The following is a 19,334-nucleotide window of genomic DNA, read 5'->3' as shown; positions in this document are numbered from 1 at the left end:
ATATTCTTTCTTGCTCCTCAATTTTAGTGTCTGGTTAATACTGGATGTGCACGGATGAATTTAAAACATGGCAGCTCATCTTCAAGCAGGGCAAAGAAGGAAAGCGAACAGTAACCCTGCCCCATGAGAAAATGGCGCCACCCATGACAAGGACAGAAGGCTCTACCTCGTTCTTCTGCTTAAGATGCCAATGGGTGGTCCTAAGAAAGCATGCCTGGGAGAAGAACATGGGCAAAATCTACATCTAATACGTATCAGGTGAGTAACCAAAGGTGATCATTACCTAGGCCATGGGTCAAGTTTGAATGTGGCCTCATCACTGCAAGCTTATTTGCAATGTTTGGGGTCCCTCAAACATTCACATAAACTGGAGTCATTCATGTTTATTAACTGTCTCTATGGATTCTTCACCTATCGCCTTCCTCTGCAAGGTGTATGGGGTCATTAGTGAAATCTACATTCTTCCACATTGGTTCTGAAACCAAGCCCTCATATTCTGACCACATCCATATATTCTAACCATAATTTAGAAAATCCCTGGGGGCATCAAAAAGCAGCTCAACAATACTTTTCATCAGGGGCTTCCCCGAGAAGCTCAATTATGCTTCCAGAAAAAGCATGCTTTAAATATCTGTGAATGAGTCATTCATGCATCCCCTCCAGTGATCTGCAGTCCCCGCAAGCCCCAGATCCCATTCTTCCCCACACACGTCCTCTGCTGTGCTCCTAACAAGTCTTACCTGGTCCAACTCCCACTTTGATGATATCTGCTCCGGAAAGAATAAGCTCTTCTACCATTTCTCCTGTCACCACGTTCCCTGCCTGAGACAGAAAGAATACAGCTGATGATCATGAACTACTATTGCTGGTATAAAGGTGAGGAACCCCACACCTGAACACGAGGATGTGCATGTCCTAAAGCCACCAGGCAGCTGGGGGACAAAAAAGGAACACAGAATTTCATACCTGGAGACCACTTTTGGGAAAGGCCCCTTGGGTGAGCTGTTGGCATGAGAAGATACAGCATTATATGATTTAAGAACTAGAAGAGATCTTAGAGAGTCCAGGTCAGGGCTTTTCAGACATCTCAGCAATCAACAACAACAACAAAAATCTTAGAGGAGGCTGGGCTTGGTGGCTCACGCCTGTAATCTCAGTACTTTGGGAGCCCGAAGCAGGCAGATCATGAGGTCAAGAGATTGAGACCATCCTGGCCAACATGGTGAAACCCTGTCTCTACTAAAAATACAAAAACTAGCTGGGCCTGGTGGCGCATGCCTGTAGTCCTAGTTACTCAGGAGGCTGAGGCAGGACAATCACTTGAACCCGGGAGGCAGAGGCTGCAGTGAGCCAAGATGGCACCACTGTACTCCAGCCTGGACGACAGAGCAAGACTCTGTCTCAAAAAAAAAAAAAAAAAAAAAATCTTAGAGGGACCCCCAAATACAAAAAGTCAGCAATGAAACACTCTTGGTAATTAATATCTTTAGTGTTGGGCAAAAAAATGTTTCACAGTTTGCAAAGCCCCTGAAGAATCTTTATGGAACCCCAGAGAGTCAGAATTAGAAAACGCAGTTAAGAAAATAGCAGTGTGCCCCACTCTCTAGGGCTGGGATTCCCATCTAGACAGGAAAGGGCAGATGAGCCCTCATGGACCACATAGCATCAGCACGTGCTCAGTTTACAGAACATGAAGCTTTGGCCTAAGAACACACAAGCCTCCAGGAAGTGGCAGAATCTATCAACCAGAAGGATGTGTCTGGTTTGGAAACAGTACAAGCTCTTTCACTGCAGGAGTGTAGGAGTGCAAAAATAGCCCTTTTTATTACAACTCACTGCCCTGTGGATTCTTCAGCCAGTATATAGGATACTTGGCAAGATGCCCTGGCTGAGTTTTCACAACTGTGCAAAGTCATATTTTGCAAAATGAATCCTTACTCATTCCACTCATGTCTTTTGCACTGAAGTCCAAGTGTCTTCTCTCTGAATTGCTTCCCAGAGGGAATTTTTCTTTTTTAACGTAGACAAAGTGACTTTTAACTTCATATAAAAGGATGTGGGGAAAAGGTGATGAGGAGGGCTTAAAGCTTTAATCCAAACAGTAGCTGACAATGGAAAAATCACAGATGGCCCAGAAAGAGGACTAGAGGTAGATTAAAGAATTAAAATTAAAGTTATACTCCCCAAATTCAGAAGGAAACCTTGAATACTTTCAATAAGCATAAAAGTGAAAAAACATAATGACAGAGCTGTCTACATAAAAACTAAAAACTTGGCCAAGTGCAGTGGCTCACGCCTATAACCACAGCACTTGGGAGGCTGAGGTAAGTGGATTGCTCGAGCCCAGGAGTTTGAGACGAGCTTGGGCAACATGGCAAAATCCCATCTCTATGTAAAAAAAAGAAAAAAGAAAAAAAACTGACATACACATAAACACAGATATTCATACAATCAACAAATACCCAGGTAGAGAAAAATATCTACAATTTTGACAAAGTGTTATTATCCTTAACATAATAAGAGCTCTTACAAACCTATAAGAAAAACGCTAATACCTCACAGAGTAAGTGCCAAAGGACAGGAACACACTATTGAAAGAAATAAAAGTGGCTGAGAAAAACGGAAAGTGTTCAACCTCCTGAATAACCAAATGTAAACTAAGGTACCAATGAGGTACTACTTTTCACTTAACAAATTATCAATAGTTGTAAACAGTAAATACTGTAGAGAAAACATCAGATGGAATCTCTATTTCTTTTGGGAAAATTTATTGTAGTATGAGTTTTCCCAGAAAGCCGTTTGTCCATATAAAAGAAATATGCACTTCCTTGTATTCAATAATTCTTCTAAGATTCTCTGCCAAGGAAATAATCATAAGTGTGGACAAACATTTAACTACAAAGATGTATTATCTGTAACAGTGCAGAACTGTAAATATATTCCCCAAAATGGAATGATCCAACAACTTATGACCTATCCATGTGATGTTTTTAAGAGTGTTTTTTTTGTTTTTTGTTTTGTTTTGCTTTTGAGATGGAGTCTTGCTCTGTCACCCAGACTGGAGTGCAGTGGCATGATCTCACTGCAACCTCTGCCTCCAGGGTTCAAGTGATTCTCCTGCCTCAGCCTCCCTAGTAGCTGGTATTACAGGCACACGCCCCCACTGCCTGGCTAATTTTTGTATTTTTAGTAGAGATGGGGTTTCACCAAGTTGGCCAGGCTGGTCTCAAACTCCTGACCTCAGGTGATCTGCCCACTTTGGCCTCCCAAAGTGCTGCAATTACAGGTGTGAGGCACCGCACCCAGCCTAAGAGTGGTTTGACAGCATGGGAAAAATGCTTAAATGCTTTCAGTATAATGTTGGGAGAAATAGAAAGATCTCAATTTTGTTATTAAAAAAAGTGTATGTGTGTATGAAAAAATACACCAAAATGCTAACAGATGATGTCTAGGTGAAGAGATGATCAAACTTTTTTTTGTTTCTTCTTTAATCTTTTCTAGATTTTATACTAGAAAGTGTGTTACTTTTATAATTATAATGGGGGCAGGAGTGTGTAGTTTTGTTTTTTATAGTGCGAGGAACAGCATGAGCTCTGTCCCTGACAGAGAACCTAACAGGAGCCTAAGAAGCAGGGCGCGAGCTCCAGTTCTTCCCAAGTGGCTGACTTGCTAAACAACCAAACAAAACCACAAAAACTTTAGAGAAGCTACTCTAAGCCCACCACACATTTTGTTTTCTTTTTTCTTTTTGAGACAGGGTCTCACTCTTGTCTCCCAGACGGGAGTGCAATGGCACAAACATGGCTCGCCGCAGCCTGAACTTCCCAGGCTCAAGCGATTCTCCTGCCTCAGCCTCCCAAGCAGCTGGGATTACAGGTATGTGCCACCACGCCTAGCTAATTTTTGTATTTTCTGTAGAGACAGAGTTTCGCCTTGTTGCCTAGGCTGGTCTCAAGCTCCTGAGCTCAAGCAATCTGCCTGCCTCAGCCTCCCAAAGTGCTGGGATTACAGGCATGAGCCACTGCGCCCGGCCACAATTTCATTTTCAATGTGGATTTCTTTTCCCCAATCTGGCGCCACCTGCGAACCATTTTATTTTTAAGGGGCTACTTTAGATAAAATAGATTAATTCAAGTCAGCTCACCATAGACGTACCAGGTACAACCCGGTAGAGTCAAAGTAAGTTCTAGTTACTTATTTAATTATTTTTAAAGCAGAGATAGGGCCTTGCTATGTTGCCCAGGCTGGTCTCTAACTCCTGGCCTCAAGTAATCCCCCCACCTCTGCCTCCCAAAGTGCTGGGATTACAGGTATGAGCCACCTCAACTGGCCAAAGTCAGCTTAAAAACATCAAGAAGGCTGACGCCGCTTTAGTAACCCAGAAGCTTGTGCAAATGTCTCTCCATCCCATCAGCTACCTGTGTGGCTGCTGAATCTGTCCATGGTCCAAATGTGGTCACTGCTACTGTCTGGAAAAACCCAAAGTGATTATGAAATGCCTCAACCATGAGGGACAGCACAGCAAGAATGCTTCCAGGAGGACGGGGGAGTTTCCATTGGCAGGAACAAAAAGCTGTCAATTCAAGTTTGAAATCAAGAAGGGCAAAATAAGGGAAAAGAGGAAAAGACCAAATCAGAAATGAGAATATGACAGGAGTGTGGTCAGGCTTTAGTGAAGTCCCCGGTGTGCCCTCGAGCAGCCTCTGGGAATGGGGTGTGATAACAGGGGCCAGGAAGCAGCTGGTCAGGGTGATTAAGTGAGGAGTCTACTTTATCTTGTCATGAAGCACCTTGGGTGTGGAGCGGATACAGGACTGTCAGAATGGGACTGTGCGTAGCAGCACAGCAGGCTCAGTCACCCAGGCAGTTCATGCAGGTTCATTTCTTGGGCAGCCATGACAACATGGAAGCAATGAACCCTTGTCCAGAGCACTGAGGCAGGCAGATGGAGGTTTCTGATAGGCAACCCCTCTTCCTAGGGAAGCCAAGCATGTTTTGGGCTCCCCCATGCTCTGGAAGGCAACAATTCTGTGTCAAGGAGAGGTTGAAGGTCATGGAAAAGACATAAAAAGTGGCCAAGCCAAGACTTCAAGTACTTTTGTACCATTTTTTAAAAAGTTGGTATGGTCTGAATGTTTACGTCCCTCCAAAATTAAAGTGTTGAAATCTTTATTCCCAAGGTGGTGATATTAGCAGGTGGGGATTTGGGGAGGTGAATTAGGTAGGTCATGGGGGCAGAGCCCCCAACAATGGGATTAGTGGCCGTCTAAGAGAGGACTGAGAGAGATCCACATGAGGTGACAATGAAAAGATGGCCATCTATCTATGAGCCAGGAAGCCGGCCCTCACCAGATACCGAATCTGCCTTGATACTGGACTTCCCAGCCTTCAGAACTGTGAAAATAAACTTCTGATTTGTATTATTTATTTATTTATTTTTGAGACAGGGTCTCACTTTGTCACCCAGGCTGGAGTGCAATGGCGCAATCACAGCTCATTGTAACCTCAACTTCCCAGGCTCAGGTGATCCTCCCACCTCAGCCTCCCGAGTAGCTGGGACTACAGGCATGTGACACCACGCCCAGCTAATTTTTTGTATTTTTAGTAGAGATGGGGTTTCTCCATGTTGGCCAGGCTGGTCTCAAACTCCTGGGCTCACGCAATCTGCCTGTCTTGGCCTCCCAAAGTGGTAGGATTACAGGTATGAGCCACCACACCAGGCCAACTTCTGATTTTTATAATATAAGCTATTCAGTTTATGGTATCTTGTTATTGCAGCCTGAACAGAACTGATGACAAAAGGTCTCTGGGCAAAAATAAAAACAAAAACTGCTTTGCCCCAATTTTTCCAGCTTTCCTTTAGGCCTCAACATCTATGGCAAAATAAGTTCGGAAAGATCTGGGGTCGAATGCTAGACCTCCCTCATTACTGGGTACTTTTGAGCAAATCACTTCAACCAGAGTCTCCATTTATCCTGCTATAAAATGGGGGTGGATGTACCCACTTTTAGTCCTTAAAAGGTTTACAAAGAAAGTTCTCTCAAATTCTTAGCACAGGGCCCAGCTCTTGGTGGTGCTTTATAAATGTTAGTCCCTCCATTTAAAAGTACTTTCTGTATATTGCTCCTTTACCCATTCTTTTTAGTTTTTTTGTAATTGTGGTCAAATACACATAAAATTTACTAGGTGTAAATTTTACACATAGAAAACAGAAATAAAATTTTTGTTTTTTAAATAATTTTTATTTTTTTCGTGAAGGGACTTAGTGCCACTGAACTGTACACCTAAAAATAAATAAAAAATTTAAATTTATTTAAAATTTTTAATTTAAAATAATTCATATTTATTTTAAATTTATGTAATATAAAATTTGTTAGTAAATAAGTTTTTAGGTGTACAGTTCAGTGGCATTGAGTACATTCACACTGTTGTACAACCATCACCATTATCCATCTCTGGAACTTTTTAATCATCTCAAACTGAAATTCTGTACCCATTAAACAGTAACCACTTTTTACTGGTTTTTCTGGGGTCCTCTTGCAAGAAAAATCCTTTCCATAGGATGATAAAAGGCAAGGGTTGGCAAACAGGCAGCAGGCGGCTAGATTTGGCCCACAGGCTGTGATGTGCCAACCCCTAACATAAAAAGAGAAATATCGGCAGGCGCGGTGGCTCACGCCTGTAATCCCAACACTTTGGGAGGCTGAGACAGGTGTTATCACCTGAGGTCAGGAGTTCGAGACCAGCCTGGCCAATATGGCAAAACCTCGTCTCTACTAAAGATACAAAAATTAACCAGGTGTGCTACTCAGGAGAATCACTTGAACCTGGGAGGCGGAGACTGCAGTTAGCCAAGATCGTGCCACCACACTCCAGCCTGGGCAACAGAGTGAGAGTCCATCTCAACAACAACAAAAAAGAGGAGTATCAACCCCAGTGACTGTTCCCAAGCACGTGGAAAATGTCCCACTACCTGCCCATGGAAAAATAGTTGCTATCCAGGCAACAGCCATGTTAAACTGAGTTTATTATGTGACTCTTCAGAGAGAACATCACCTTTGTAGCTTTCAGCCATGGTTCCAGAAAGTGGGTGAATACAGAAAATCCAGGGAACACGGCCTGAGAGGTGCTCTCAGCCATACACACCCCTTGTACCTCAGGGGAGGGACACTTGAATGGTGAGGCCCCAGACCTGCCCCAAGCTTTCAAGGAACATTCAATGTGTCCGCCTCTCTGTGAAGAGGCGTACAGCGGAAACATCTGTGTGGCTCAGAACCTTGAGAAAGAATGTGGGCAGGCCAATGAGCCATCAGTCATGCATGGAAATGTCAGGGTCCCGCCCTGGAGATCCAGCCCATGGCTCCCGGAGATCTGCCCGCAGCAGCTGACACGGCATTGCCCCAGGGGAGTAGAGCTTGGCCTCTATCTAATCTGAACACATTAGATCTCAGGCACCTATTTCCTCCAGACCAGATCAGAAAGAGCCACCAGCACAAAAGCATCTCCCAGAGCCAACACAGGGACCTCCAAGTCCCAGTATGTCTGGAATTGGTTCCTTCCGGTGGGTTCTTGGTCTCGCTGGAGCCACAGACCTTCGGCTGCGGTGAGTGTTACAATTCTTAAAAGATGGCGTGTCCGGAGTTTGTTCCGTCAGATGTTCAGATGTGTCCGGAGTTTCTTCCTTCTGGTGGGTTCATGGTCTTGCTGACTTCAGGAGTGAAGCCGCAGACCTTTGCAGTGAGTGTTACAGCTCTTAAAAGTGGCACCGTCCGGAGTTGTTCATTCCTCCCGGACGGTTCGTGGTCTCGCTGACTTCAGGAGTGAAGCCACAGACCTTCACAGTGAGTGTTACAGCTCTTTGTTTTTTGAGACGGAGTCTCCCTCTCACCCAGGCCGGAGTGCAGTGGCGCGATCTCGGCTCACTGCAAGCTCCACCTCCCAGGTTCATGCAATTCTCCTGCCTCAGCCTCCCGAGTAGCTGGGACTACAGGCGCCCGCCACTGCACCCGACTAATTTTTTCTTTTTTTTGTACTTTTAGTAGAGATAGGGTTTCACCGTGTTAGCCAGGATGGTCATGATCTCCTGACCTGGTGATCCGCCCACCTCGGCCTCCCAAAGTGCCGGGATTACAGGCGTGAGCCACAGCGCCCGGCCATGTTACAGCTCTTAAAGGTGGCACGTCCGACGTGCCACCTTTTTCGCAGGGAGTGTTACAGCTCTTAAAGGTGGCGCACCCAGAGTTGTTCGTTCCTCCTCGTGGGTTCATGGTCTACGCCGACTTCAGGAGTGAAGCCGCAGACCTTTGCAGTGAGTGTTACAGCTCTTAAAGGTGGCACGTCCGGAGTTGTTCGTTCCTCCCGGACGGTTCGTGGTCTCGCTGACTTCAGGAGTGAAGCCACGACCTTCACAGTGAGTGTTACAGCTCTTTTTTTGTTTGTTTGTTTTTTGAGACGGAGTCTCGCTCTCACCTAGGCCGGAGTGCCGTCAAGCTCCCCCTCCCAGGTTCATGCAATTCTCCTGCCTCAGCCTCCCGAGTAGCTGGGACTACAGGCGCCCGCCACTGCGCCCGGCTAATTTTTTCTTTTTTTTGTACTTTTAGTAGAGATGGGGTTTCACCGTGTTAGCCAGGATGGTTATGATCTCCTGACCTGGTGATCCACCCATCTCGGCCTCCCAAAGTGCCAGGATTACAGGCGTGAGCCACCGCGCCCAGCCGTGTTACAGCTCTTAAAGGTGGCACGTCGGACGTGCCACCTTTTCCACAGGAAGTGTTACAGCTCTTAAAGGTGGCACGTCCGACGTGCCACCTTTTTCACAGTGAGTGTTACAGCTCTTAAAGGTGGCACGTCCGACGTGCCACCTTTTTCACAGTGAGTGTTACAGCTCTTAAAGGTGGCGCACCCAGAGTTGTTCGTTCCTCCTCGTGGGTTCATGGTCTACACTGACTTCAGGAATGAAGCCTCAGACCTTCGCAGTGAGTGTTACAGCTCTTAAAGGTGGTGCGCGCGGCGTTCTTCATTCTTCGCAGCGAGTGTTACAGCTCTTAAAGATGGCAAGTGTTACAGCTCTTAAAGATGGCAAGTGTTACAGCTCTTAAAGATGGCAAGTGTTACAGCTCTTAAAGATGGCAAGTGTTACAGCTCTTAAAGGTAGCCCGTCGGGAGTTGTTCATTCCTCCCACTGGGTTCGTGGTCTCACTGACTTCAGCAGTGAAGCCACAGACCTTCACGGTGAGTGTTACAGCTCTTAAAGGTTGCACATCCACAATTGTTCCTTTCTCCCGGCGGGTGGCTTCGTGGTCTCACTGACTTCAGGAGTGAAACTGCACATCTTTGCAGTAAGTGTTACAGCTCATAAACGTCGCGTGGACCCAAAGAGCGAGCAGCAGCAAGCGAACGAAGAAAACCTCCATGGCGTGGAAGGGTTCCGGAGTGGGTTATCCGGGCTGGCTCCAGCAGCCAGCTTTTATTCCCTTATTTGGCCCCGCCCACATCCTGCTGATTGGTCCATTTAACAGAGTGCGGAGTGGTGTGTTTTTACAGAGTGCTGATTGGTGCGTTTAGCTAGACACAGCGCTGCTTTAGCTAGACACAGTGCTGCTTTAGCTAGACACAGCGCTGCTTGGTGCTATTTTTACAGAGTGCTGATTGGAGCATTTACAATCCTTTAGCTAGACACAGAGCACTGACTGATGCATTTACAATCCTCTAGGCTAGACAGAAAAGTTCTCCAAGTCCCCACTGGACCCAGAAAGTCAAGCTGGCTTCACCTCTCACCAGCAAGCCTGAACTGGTGGCATGTGGGGGACAACAGCAAAAATTTGCAGGCTCAGGCAAGCCACCTAGCCCTAAATGCCAGGTCCAGCTCTCACTAGTGGTGTAACCCTCAGAAGGCTCCCTGAGCTCTCTAGGACTAAGTTTTACATCAACAAAAGTAGGTGCTATTACCTCTACTCAAAGATTTGTTATTAGAAAAGAAATTCTGGCCAGGTATGGTGATTCATGCCTGTAATTTCAGCACTTTAGGAGGCAGAGGTAGGAGGACTACTTGAAGTCAGGAGTTTGAGATCACCCTGGTCAACACTGCAATATTCTGTTTCTACAAACTTTTTTTTAACAAAGAAGTGCCTAGTCTGTGCTAGTGCCTTTTTACACAGTACTGAGAATGTACCCGAGAACACATTATTCTCTTTCCTCCCTGAAAGCCACCAGGCAAATGGCCACAGGACTTGGTATACTCTTCAATCAGCCAGCCCCTCAATAGGACCTTTTCTGACAAAGGTGTTCTCTAAAAATCCCTGTTCTCCTACCCCTATGTGGCAAGGCCCATCTTAGGTGAAAGGTGTCAGGCCTCTGAGCCCAAGCTAAGCCATCATATCCCCTGTGACCTGCATGTACACATCCAGATGGCCGGTTCCTGCCTTAACTGATGACATTCCACCACAAAAGAAGTGAAAATGGCCTGTTCCTGCCTTAACTGATGACATTGTCTTGTGAAATTCCTTCTCCTGGCTCATCCTGGCTCAAAAGCTCCCCTACTGAGCACCTTGTGACCCCCACTCTGCCCACCAGAGAACAACCCCCCCTTTGACTGTAATTTTCCTTTACCTACCCAAATCCTATAAAACGGCCCCACCCCTATCTCCCTTCGCTGACTCTCTTTTCGGACTCAGCCCGCCTGCACCCAGGTGAAATAAACAGCCATGTTGCTCACACAAAGCCTGTTTGGTGGTCTCTTCACACGGACGCACATGAAATTTGGTGCCGTGACTCAGATCGGGGGACCTCCCTTGGGAGATCAATCCCCTGTCCTCCTGCTCTTTGCGAAAGATCCACCTACGACCTCAGGTCCTCGGACCGACCAGCCCAAGAAACATCTCACCAATTTCAAATCCGGTAAGCGGCCTCTTTTTACTCTCTTCTCCAACCTCCCTCACTATCCCTCAGCCTCTCTCCTTTCAATCTTGGCGCCACACTTCAATCTCTCCCTTCTTTTAATTTCAATTCCTTTCATTTTCTGGTAGAGATAAAGGAGACACGTTTTATCCACGGACTCAAAACTCCGGCGCCGGTCACAGACTAGGGAAGGCAGCCTTCCCTTGGTGTTTAATCATTGCAGGGACACCTCTGATTATTCTACCGGGTTTCAGAGGTGTCAGACCACGCAGGGATGCCTGCCTTGGTCCTTCACCCTTAGCGGCAAGTCCTGCTTTTCTGGGGAAGGGGCAAGTACCCTAATCCCTTCTCTCCGTGTCTCTATCCCTTCTCCGCCTTTCTGGGGGGCAAGAAACCCCCAACCCCTTCTCCTTCACACTTAGCGGCAAGTCCCACTTTTCTAGAGGAGGGGCATGTACCCCAACCTCTTATATCTCTGTGCCCCAATCCCTTATTTCTGTGCCCCGACCTCTTATCTCTGCACCCCAATCCCTTATTTCTGTGCCCTGACCTATCTCTGCACCCCAATCCCTTATTTCTGTGCCCTGACCTCTTATCTCTGCACCCCAATCCCTTATTTCTGTGCCCTGACCTCTTATCTCTGCACCCCAATCCCTTATTTCTGTGCCCTGACCTCTTATCTCTGCACCCCATCCCTTATTTCCGTGCCCCGACCTCTTATCTCTGCAACCCGACCTCTTATCTCTGCATCCCAACCCCTTATTTCCACGCCCCAACCCCTTTCCCGCTTTTCTGGAAGGTAAGAACCCCTGAACCCCTTCCCTCCGTGTCTCTACTCTCTTTTCTCTAGGCTTGCTTCCTTCACTATGGGCAACCTTCCACCCTCCATTCCTCCTTCTTCTCCCTTAGCCTGTGTCCTCAAAAAACTTAAAACCTCTTCAATTCTCACCTGACCTAAAATCTAAGCATCTTATTTTCTTCTGCAGTGCTGCTTGACCCCAATACAAACTCGACAGTAGTTCCAAATAGCCGGAAAATGGCACTTTCAATTTTTCCATCCTACAAGATCTAAATAATTCTTGTCGTACAATGGGCAAATGGTCTGAGGTGCCTGACATCCAGGCATTCTTTTACACATCGGTCCCTCTCTAGTCTCTGTTCCCAATGCAACTCGTCCCAAATCTTCCTCCTTTCCCTCCCGCCTGTCCCCTCAGTCCCAACCCCAAGCGTCGCTGAGTCTTTCTAATCTTCCTTTTCTACAGACTCATCTGACCTCTCCCCTCCTCCCCAGGCTGCTCCTCGCCAGGCCGAGCTAGGTCCCAATTCTTTCTCAGCCTCCGCTCCTCCACCCTATAATCCTTTTATCACCTCCCCTCCTCACACACAGTCTGGCTTACAGTTTCGTTCCGTGACTAGCCCTCCCCACCTGCCCAGCAATTTACTCTTAAAAAGGTGGCTGGAGCTAAAGGCATAGTCAAGGTTAATGCTCCTTTTTCTTTATCCCAAATCGGATAGCGTTTAGGCTCTTTTTCATCAAATATAAAAATCCAGCCCAGTTCATGGCTCGTTTGGCAGCAACCCTGAGACGCTTTACAGCCCTAGACCCTAAAAGTTCAAAAGGCCGTCTTATTCTCAAAATACACTTTATTACCCAATCTGCTCCCGACATTAAAGAAAACTCCAAAAATTAAATTCCAGCCCTCAAACCCCACAACAGGATTTAATTAACCTCGCCTTCAAGGTGTACAATAATAGAGAAAAGTTGCAATTCCTTGCCTCCACTGTGAGACAAACCCCAGCCACATCTCCAGCACACAAGAACTTCCAAACGCCTGAACCGCAGCAGCCAGGCGTTCCTCCAGAACCTCCTCCCCCAGGAGCTTGCTACAAGTGCCAGAAATCTGGCCACCAGGCCAAGGAATGCCTGCAGCCCAGGATTCCTCCTAAGCTGAGTCCCATCTGTGCGGGACCCCACTGGAAATCGGACTGTCTAACTCACCTGGCAGCCACTCCCAGCGCCCCTGGAATTCTGGCCCAAGGCTCTCTGACTGCTTCCCACATCTTCTTGGCTTAGCGGCTGAAGACTGATGCTGCCCGATCGCCTCGGAAGCCCCCTACAAGACCATCACGGATGCCGAGCTTCGCGTAACTCTCACAGTGGAGGGTAAGTCTGTCCCCTTCTTAATCAATACGGAGGCTACCCACTCCACATTGCCTTCTTTTCAAGGGCCTGTTTCCCTTGCCTCCATAACTGTTATAGGTATTGACGGCCAGGCTTCTAAGCCTCTTAAAATCCCCCAACTCTAGTGCCCACTTAGACGTTACTCTTTTAACCACTCCTTTTTAGTTATCCCCACCTGCCCAGTTCCCTTATTAGGCCGAGACACTTTAACTAAATTATCTGCTTCCCTGACTATTCCTGGATTACAGCTACATCTCATTGCCGCCCTTCTTCCCAATCCAAAGCCTCCTTTGTGTCCTCCTCTTGTATCCCCCAACCTTAACCCACAAATATAAGATACCTCTACTCCCTCCTTGGTGACCGATCATGCACCCCTTACCATCTCATTAAAACCTAATAACCCTTACCCTGCTCAATGCCAAGATCCCATCCCACAGCATGCTTTGAAAGGATTAAAGCCTGTTATCACTCGCCTGCTACAGCATGGCCTTTTAAAGCCTATAAACTCTCCTTATAATTCCCCCATTTTACCTGTCCTAAAACCAGACAAGCCTTACAAGTTAGTTCAGGATCTGCGCCTTATCAACCAAATTGTTTTGCCTATCCACCCCATGGTGCCAAACCCATATACTCTCCTATCCTCAATACCTCTCTCCACAGTCCATTATTCTGTTCTGGATCTCAAACATGCTTTCTTTACTATTCCTTTGCACCTGTCCTCCTAGCCTCTCTTCGCTTTCACTTGGACTGACCCTGACACCCGTCAGGCTCAGCAAATTACCTGGGCTGTACTGTTGCAAAGCTTCACAGACAGCCCCCATTACTTCAGTCAAGCCCAAATTTTCTCCTTATCTGTTACCTATCTAAGCATAATTCTTATAAAAACACACGTGCTTTCCCTGCTGATAGTGTCCAATTAATCTCCCAAACCTCAATTCCTTACAAAACAGCAACTCCTTTCCTTCCTAGGCATGGTTAGTGCAGTCAGAATTCTTACACAAGAGCCAGGACCGCACCCTGTAGCCTTTCTGTGCAAACAACTTGACCTTACTGTTTTAGCCTAGCCATCATGTCTCCGTGCAGCGGCTGCCGCCGTCCTAATACTTTTAGAGGCCCTCAAAATCACAAACTATGCTCAACTTACTCTCTACATTTCTCATAACTTCCAAAATCTATTTTCTTCCTCATACCTGACGCATATACTTTCTGCTCCCCGGCTCCTTCAGCTGTACTCACTCTTTGTTAAGTCCCACAATTACCATTGTTCCTGGCCCGGACTTCAATCCACCCTCCCACGTTATTCCTGATACCACACCTGACCCCCATGACTGTATCTCTCTGATCCACCTGACATTCACTCCATTTCCCCATATTTCCTTCTTTGCCGTTCCTCACCCTGATCACGCTTGATTTATTGATGGCAGTTCCACCAGGCCTAATCGCCACACACCAGCAAAGGCAGGCTATGCTATAGTACAAGCCACTAGCCCGCCTCTTAGAACCTCTCATTTTCTTTCCATCGTAGAAATCTATCCTCAAGGAAATAACTTCTCAGTGTTCCATCTGCTATTCTACTACTCCTCAAGGATTATTCAGGCCCCTTCCCTTCCCCACACATCAAGCTCGAGGATTTGCCCCCACCCAGGACTGGCAAATTAGCTTTACTCGACATGCCCCGAGTCAGATAACTAAAATACCTCTTAGTCTAGGTAGACACTTTCACTGGATAAGTACAGGCCTTTCCTACAGGGTCTGAGAAGGCCACCACAGTCATTTCCTCCCTTCTGTCAGAAATAATTCTTCAGTTTAGCCTTCCCACCTCTATACAGTCTGATAACAGACCAGCCTTTATTAGTCAAATCAGCCAAGCAGTTTTTCAGGCTCTTAGTATTCAGTGAAACCTTTATATCCCTTACGGTCCTCAGTCTTCAGGAAAAGTAGAACGGACTAAAGGTCTTTTAAAAACACACTTCACCAAGCTCAGCCACCAACTTAAAAAGGACTGGACAATACTTTTACCACTTTCCCTTCTCAGAAGTCAGACCTGTCCTCAGAATGCTACAAAGTACAGCCTATTTGAGCTCCTGTATAGACGCTCCTTTTTATTAGGCCCCAGTCTCATTCCAGACACCAGACCAACTTAGACTGTGCCCCAAAAAAACTTGTCATCCCTACTATCTTCTGTCTAGTCATACTCCTATTCACCATTCTCAACTACTCATACATGCCCTGCTCTTGTTTACACTGCCGGTTTACACTGTTTCTCCAAGCCATCACAGCTGATATCTCCTGGTGCTATCCCCAAACTGCCACTCTTAACTCTTGAAGTAAATAAATAATCTTTGCTGACAGGACTATGCTGAATTTCCTTAGGCACTCTAATTAGATGTCCTAGGTCCTCCCAATTCTTAGACCTTTAATACCTGTTTTTCTCCTTCTCTTATTCCGTTTAGTTTTTCAATTCATACAAAAACCGTATCCAGGCCATCACCAATAATTCTAAATGACAAATGTTTCTTCTAACAGTCCCACAATATCAACCCTTACCACAAAATCTTCCTTCGGCTTAATCTCTCCCACTCTAGGTTACCACGCCGCCCCTAATCCCACTCGAAGCAGCCCTGAGAAACATCGCCCATTATCTCCCCATACCATCCCCAAAAATTTTCACCGTCCCAACACTTTACCACTATTTTGTTTTATTTTTCTTATTAACATAAGAAGACAGGAATGTCAGGCCTCTGAGCCCAAGCTAAGCCATCATATCCCCTGTGACCTGCAGGTACACATCCAGATGGCCGGTTCCTGCCTTAACTGATGACATTCTACCACAAAAGAAGTGAAAATGGCCTGTTCCTGCCTTAACTGATGACATTGCCTTGTGAAATTCCTTCTCCTAGCTCATCCTGGCTCAAAAGCTCCCCTACTGAGCACCTTGTGACCCCTACTCTGCCCGCCAGAGAACAAACCAACCCCTCTTTGACTGTAATTTTCCTTTACCTACCCAAATCCTATAAAACGGCCCCACCCCTATCTCCCTTCGCTGACTCTCTTTTCGGACTCAGCCCGCCTGCACCCAGGTGAAATAAACAGCCATGTTGCTCAAACAAAGCCTGTTTGGTGGTCTCTTCACACGGACGCACATGAAAAAAGGCAAGGAAAAAAAACCAGGAGAAACTGGGCACAGGGAGCGACAAGCCCTCACTCCTGGTGCAGAGGCCAGGAACTGCCAGCTTCTTCCTGGAACGTTTGTGAGCATCCTTTCTGTTCACTGTATTGTAACAATCGTAATAACACTCCATTCCATAACACTCAGCCCTCATATTACATCATTCATTCCAAAACACTGGAAAAATGTGAATGCGTCTTCACAATGCCTCCAAAAGCCATAAGAAATTATGTTTCAAAAACACCAAAAACCAAGGACATAAAAGTACTGGAGGTTTCCAAAAGAATCACAGATTTCAAGGGTCAATGCAGGCACAGAACAGCTTAAGAATAAACACCTACCTTGCCAAAGTCTCCTGTTCATTGCTGGGGAAACCAACAAGAGCAATGAAAACATACCCCTGGGCCAGCCAGCCAGCGGGTGCTGGAGAGGGCCTCGCTGTTGGTGGCTTCCCAGACAGCTGTGGGAACTCTGAACCGATCTCCTCCCTCCCAGTAAACTCCCCCATAGCAACTCCTAAGTTCTGCACTGGCAACAACACCCTTTCCCTCGTCTTACCCAGCCCCCTCCTTCCTGCACTTCCCTCCTTCCTGGTCTTTGTCCTTCAGAGGTGACATGCAGGCTCTCTAGGCTGTCCAACAGGCAGCTCACAGTTCTCAGCAGGCCCAGCTGTGAACTACACCCCACAGCAGCTCCAGTTTGGAGAATGTAATGGACAGCTTGGGAGCACTAATGCATTTCTGCTATCACTTGTCATTTTAAAGAGTGACACACATTTTCTCTCTCTTCTTAAACCCCACATTACCCTCCATCTTTCTTCTCCATCTCTGACTCAGTTCTCAGAGCATGTGCCCTTGATGACACTCACCAGAGACGAGCAAATGCTAGTGAAGGTGGCACTGTTACAAAACAGCATCCCATCTGAGCCCGAGTCATTCTCCAGCCACGAGGATCCTCAACCTCCTTTTCACAGGTGAGGAAAGTGAGATTCAGAAAGAATGCGATTTCCCCAGTGTGACTCAGCTCATGTGCCCACACTGACTTCTGGGGTGCTATGGGCTGAATGTTTGTGTCCCCCACAGATTCCTATGCTGAAACTGAATCTTCAATCCAATGGCATTAGGAGGCAGGGCCTTTGGGAGGTGATTAGGTCATAAGGGTGCAGCCTTCATGAATGCGATTAGTGCCCTCACAAGAGAGGTTCCAAGGAGCCTGTATGCCTCTTCCACCATATGAAGATGCAGCAAGAAAGCACCACCTATGAGGAACGGTGAAACTAGACACTAAATCAGCCAACACCTTGATTTTGGAATTCCAGCCTCCAGAACTGTGAGCAATTTTCTGTTGTTTATACACCAGTCAGTTTATGGTATTTTATGCTAGCAGACTAAACAGACTCAGACAAAGAGCATTAAGGAGTGAGTTTAACAGCGATACAACCAGCTGGAAAGTAAAGAGAAGGAAAAAGAGCAAGTGAGGTATCTAGGAAATGATATTAAAGATTAGCTTCAGGAACCAAGGAATATATATATACAGCTGACATAAAGCAATGTGGTGAATCTCAAATATACTATCAAGAAAAAGAAGATAAAAGACATAAAGGATGACCACTTATGGAATGTTTACCAGTTTATCGTATTAATAAGGGCTATGATGAAGGATACAGATGAACAGCCTGATGAAGCGAGACATAGGGTGAGGTCTGGAAGAGTCCAGAGTGCTGGACCCACAGAGCTGGGGTCTGCCACCCTCCAGGCATGTAGACGTGTTACCCGCCAGGAAGCTTTCAAAACCCCATACTTTGGGGGTTTCTGTGAAGGCCTCGTCAAGGAGGCATAATGGATTATTAACTCTACTTCCAGCCCTCTCCCCTCTCTGGAAAATGGAGGATGGAGCCAGAAGCTCCAAGCTTCTAATCATGGCTTGTTCTATCTGATGACCAACCCCCACACAGGAGCCCATTAAGAGTCGCCTTGTTAGGACAAGAGCAGCTGTGCTGCTATCACCCAGGAAATCCCAAGGGATTTAAGAGCCATGTGTCAGGAACCAGGGTCAAAGATTAAATATTAGAACAAAAGCTACTCCTACCACCCAGGAAATCTCAAGGGATTCAGAAGCTCTGTGCCAGGTGCTGTCATCACTCTGGAAATTACAAAGGTTCTAGAAGCTCTGTGTCAGCAATCAGGATCAATGACCAAATATTAGAACAAAAGATTCTCTTAGCACCCTTATCTACAAGGGTTTTAGGAGTTCTGTCTCAAGAACCAAGGGCTGAGACCAATAAACACATATACATTTCTTATTATTTAACAGTATTCAACAAACATCATTATCAAAAGCAATGAAGTTGGCTGTTCTATTACAGAGAACAAAGTGAATTTTTCTATTTCCCAACCCACTTCTAACACTGGTACAGCTGGTTGACCTTGGAACAACTCTTTTTTTTTTTTTTTTTTTTTTTGAGACAGAGTCTCACTCTGTCTCCCAGGCTAGAGTGCAATGGTGAGATCTCGGCTCACAGCCACCTTTGCCTCCCGGGTTCGAGCAATTCTCTGCCTCAGCCTCCCAAGTAGCTGGGATTACAGTCATCTGCCACCATGCCTGGCTAATTTTTCTATTTTTTTTTTTTTTTTTTTTTAGTAGATGCAGGGTTTCACCATCTTGGCCAGGCTGGTCTTGAACTCTTGACCTCATGATCCACCCACCTCGGCCTCCCAAAGTGCTGGGATTACAGGCATTAGCCACTGCACCCGGCCAATTCTTTTTTTTTTTTTGAGACGGAGTCTCCCTCTGTTGCCCAGGCTGGAGTGCAGTGGTGTGATCTCGGCTCACTGCAAGCTTCACCTCCTGGGTTCAAGAGATTCTCCTGCCTCAGCCTCCTAAGTAGCTGGGATTACAGGCACCCGCCATCACGGCTGGCTAATTTTTGTATTTTTAGTAGAGACACGGTTTCGCCATGTTGGCCAGGCTGGTCTCAAATTCCTGACCTCAGGTGATCCACCTGCCTCGGCCTCCCAAAGTGCTGGGATTACAGTCGTGAGCCACTGCGCCCAGCTGGAACAATTCTTGATCCTTTCTTCCTATGTG

At 46.4% G+C, this 19,334-nt stretch overlaps 1 protein-coding gene across 2 annotated transcripts in view, besides 4 other annotated features; it reads right to left on the bottom strand.

The window, feature by feature from the left end:
- Positions 1-19,334, bottom strand: part of GMPR (guanosine monophosphate reductase) — a 56,963-nt gene that overhangs the window by 20,313 nt on the left and 17,316 nt on the right. For both annotated transcript variants that reach the window (NM_006877.4, XM_047418656.1), the window contains exon 5: positions 741-822. In NM_006877.4, the coding sequence (NP_006868.3) occupies positions 741-822 (82 nt within the window). The remainder of the gene's footprint in view (positions 1-740; positions 823-19,334) is intronic.
- Positions 10,208-10,777: an enhancer, noted in NCBI's record as "OCT4-NANOG-H3K27ac hESC enhancer chr6:16264691-16265260 (GRCh37/hg19 assembly coordinates)". NCBI's record gives its function as "activates a minimal SCP1, AML or CMV promoter by ChIP-STARR-seq in naive H9 embryonic stem cells {active_cell/tissue: H9 hESC(naive)}" and the evidence as "EXISTENCE:reporter gene assay evidence [ECO:0000049][PMID:30033119]".
- Positions 10,778-11,348: an enhancer, noted in NCBI's record as "H3K27ac hESC enhancer chr6:16264120-16264690 (GRCh37/hg19 assembly coordinates)". NCBI's record gives its function as "activates a minimal SCP1, AML or CMV promoter by ChIP-STARR-seq in naive H9 embryonic stem cells {active_cell/tissue: H9 hESC(naive)}" and the evidence as "EXISTENCE:reporter gene assay evidence [ECO:0000049][PMID:30033119]".
- Positions 12,388-12,887: an enhancer, noted in NCBI's record as "H3K4me1 hESC enhancer chr6:16262581-16263080 (GRCh37/hg19 assembly coordinates)". NCBI's record gives its function as "activates a minimal SCP1, AML or CMV promoter by ChIP-STARR-seq in primed H9 embryonic stem cells {active_cell/tissue: H9 hESC(primed)}" and the evidence as "EXISTENCE:reporter gene assay evidence [ECO:0000049][PMID:30033119]".
- Positions 15,645-16,199: an enhancer, noted in NCBI's record as "NANOG hESC enhancer chr6:16259269-16259823 (GRCh37/hg19 assembly coordinates)". NCBI's record gives its function as "activates a minimal SCP1, AML or CMV promoter by ChIP-STARR-seq in naive H9 embryonic stem cells {active_cell/tissue: H9 hESC(naive)}" and the evidence as "EXISTENCE:reporter gene assay evidence [ECO:0000049][PMID:30033119]".

The sequence above is a fragment of the Homo sapiens genome, chromosome 6 (assembly GCF_000001405.40).
Source record: "Homo sapiens chromosome 6, GRCh38.p14 Primary Assembly".
Taxonomy (NCBI): domain Eukaryota; kingdom Metazoa; phylum Chordata; class Mammalia; order Primates; family Hominidae; genus Homo; species Homo sapiens.
The sequence above is the reverse complement of the archived record's forward strand: the minus strand, read 5'-3'. Positions and strand labels throughout refer to the sequence as shown.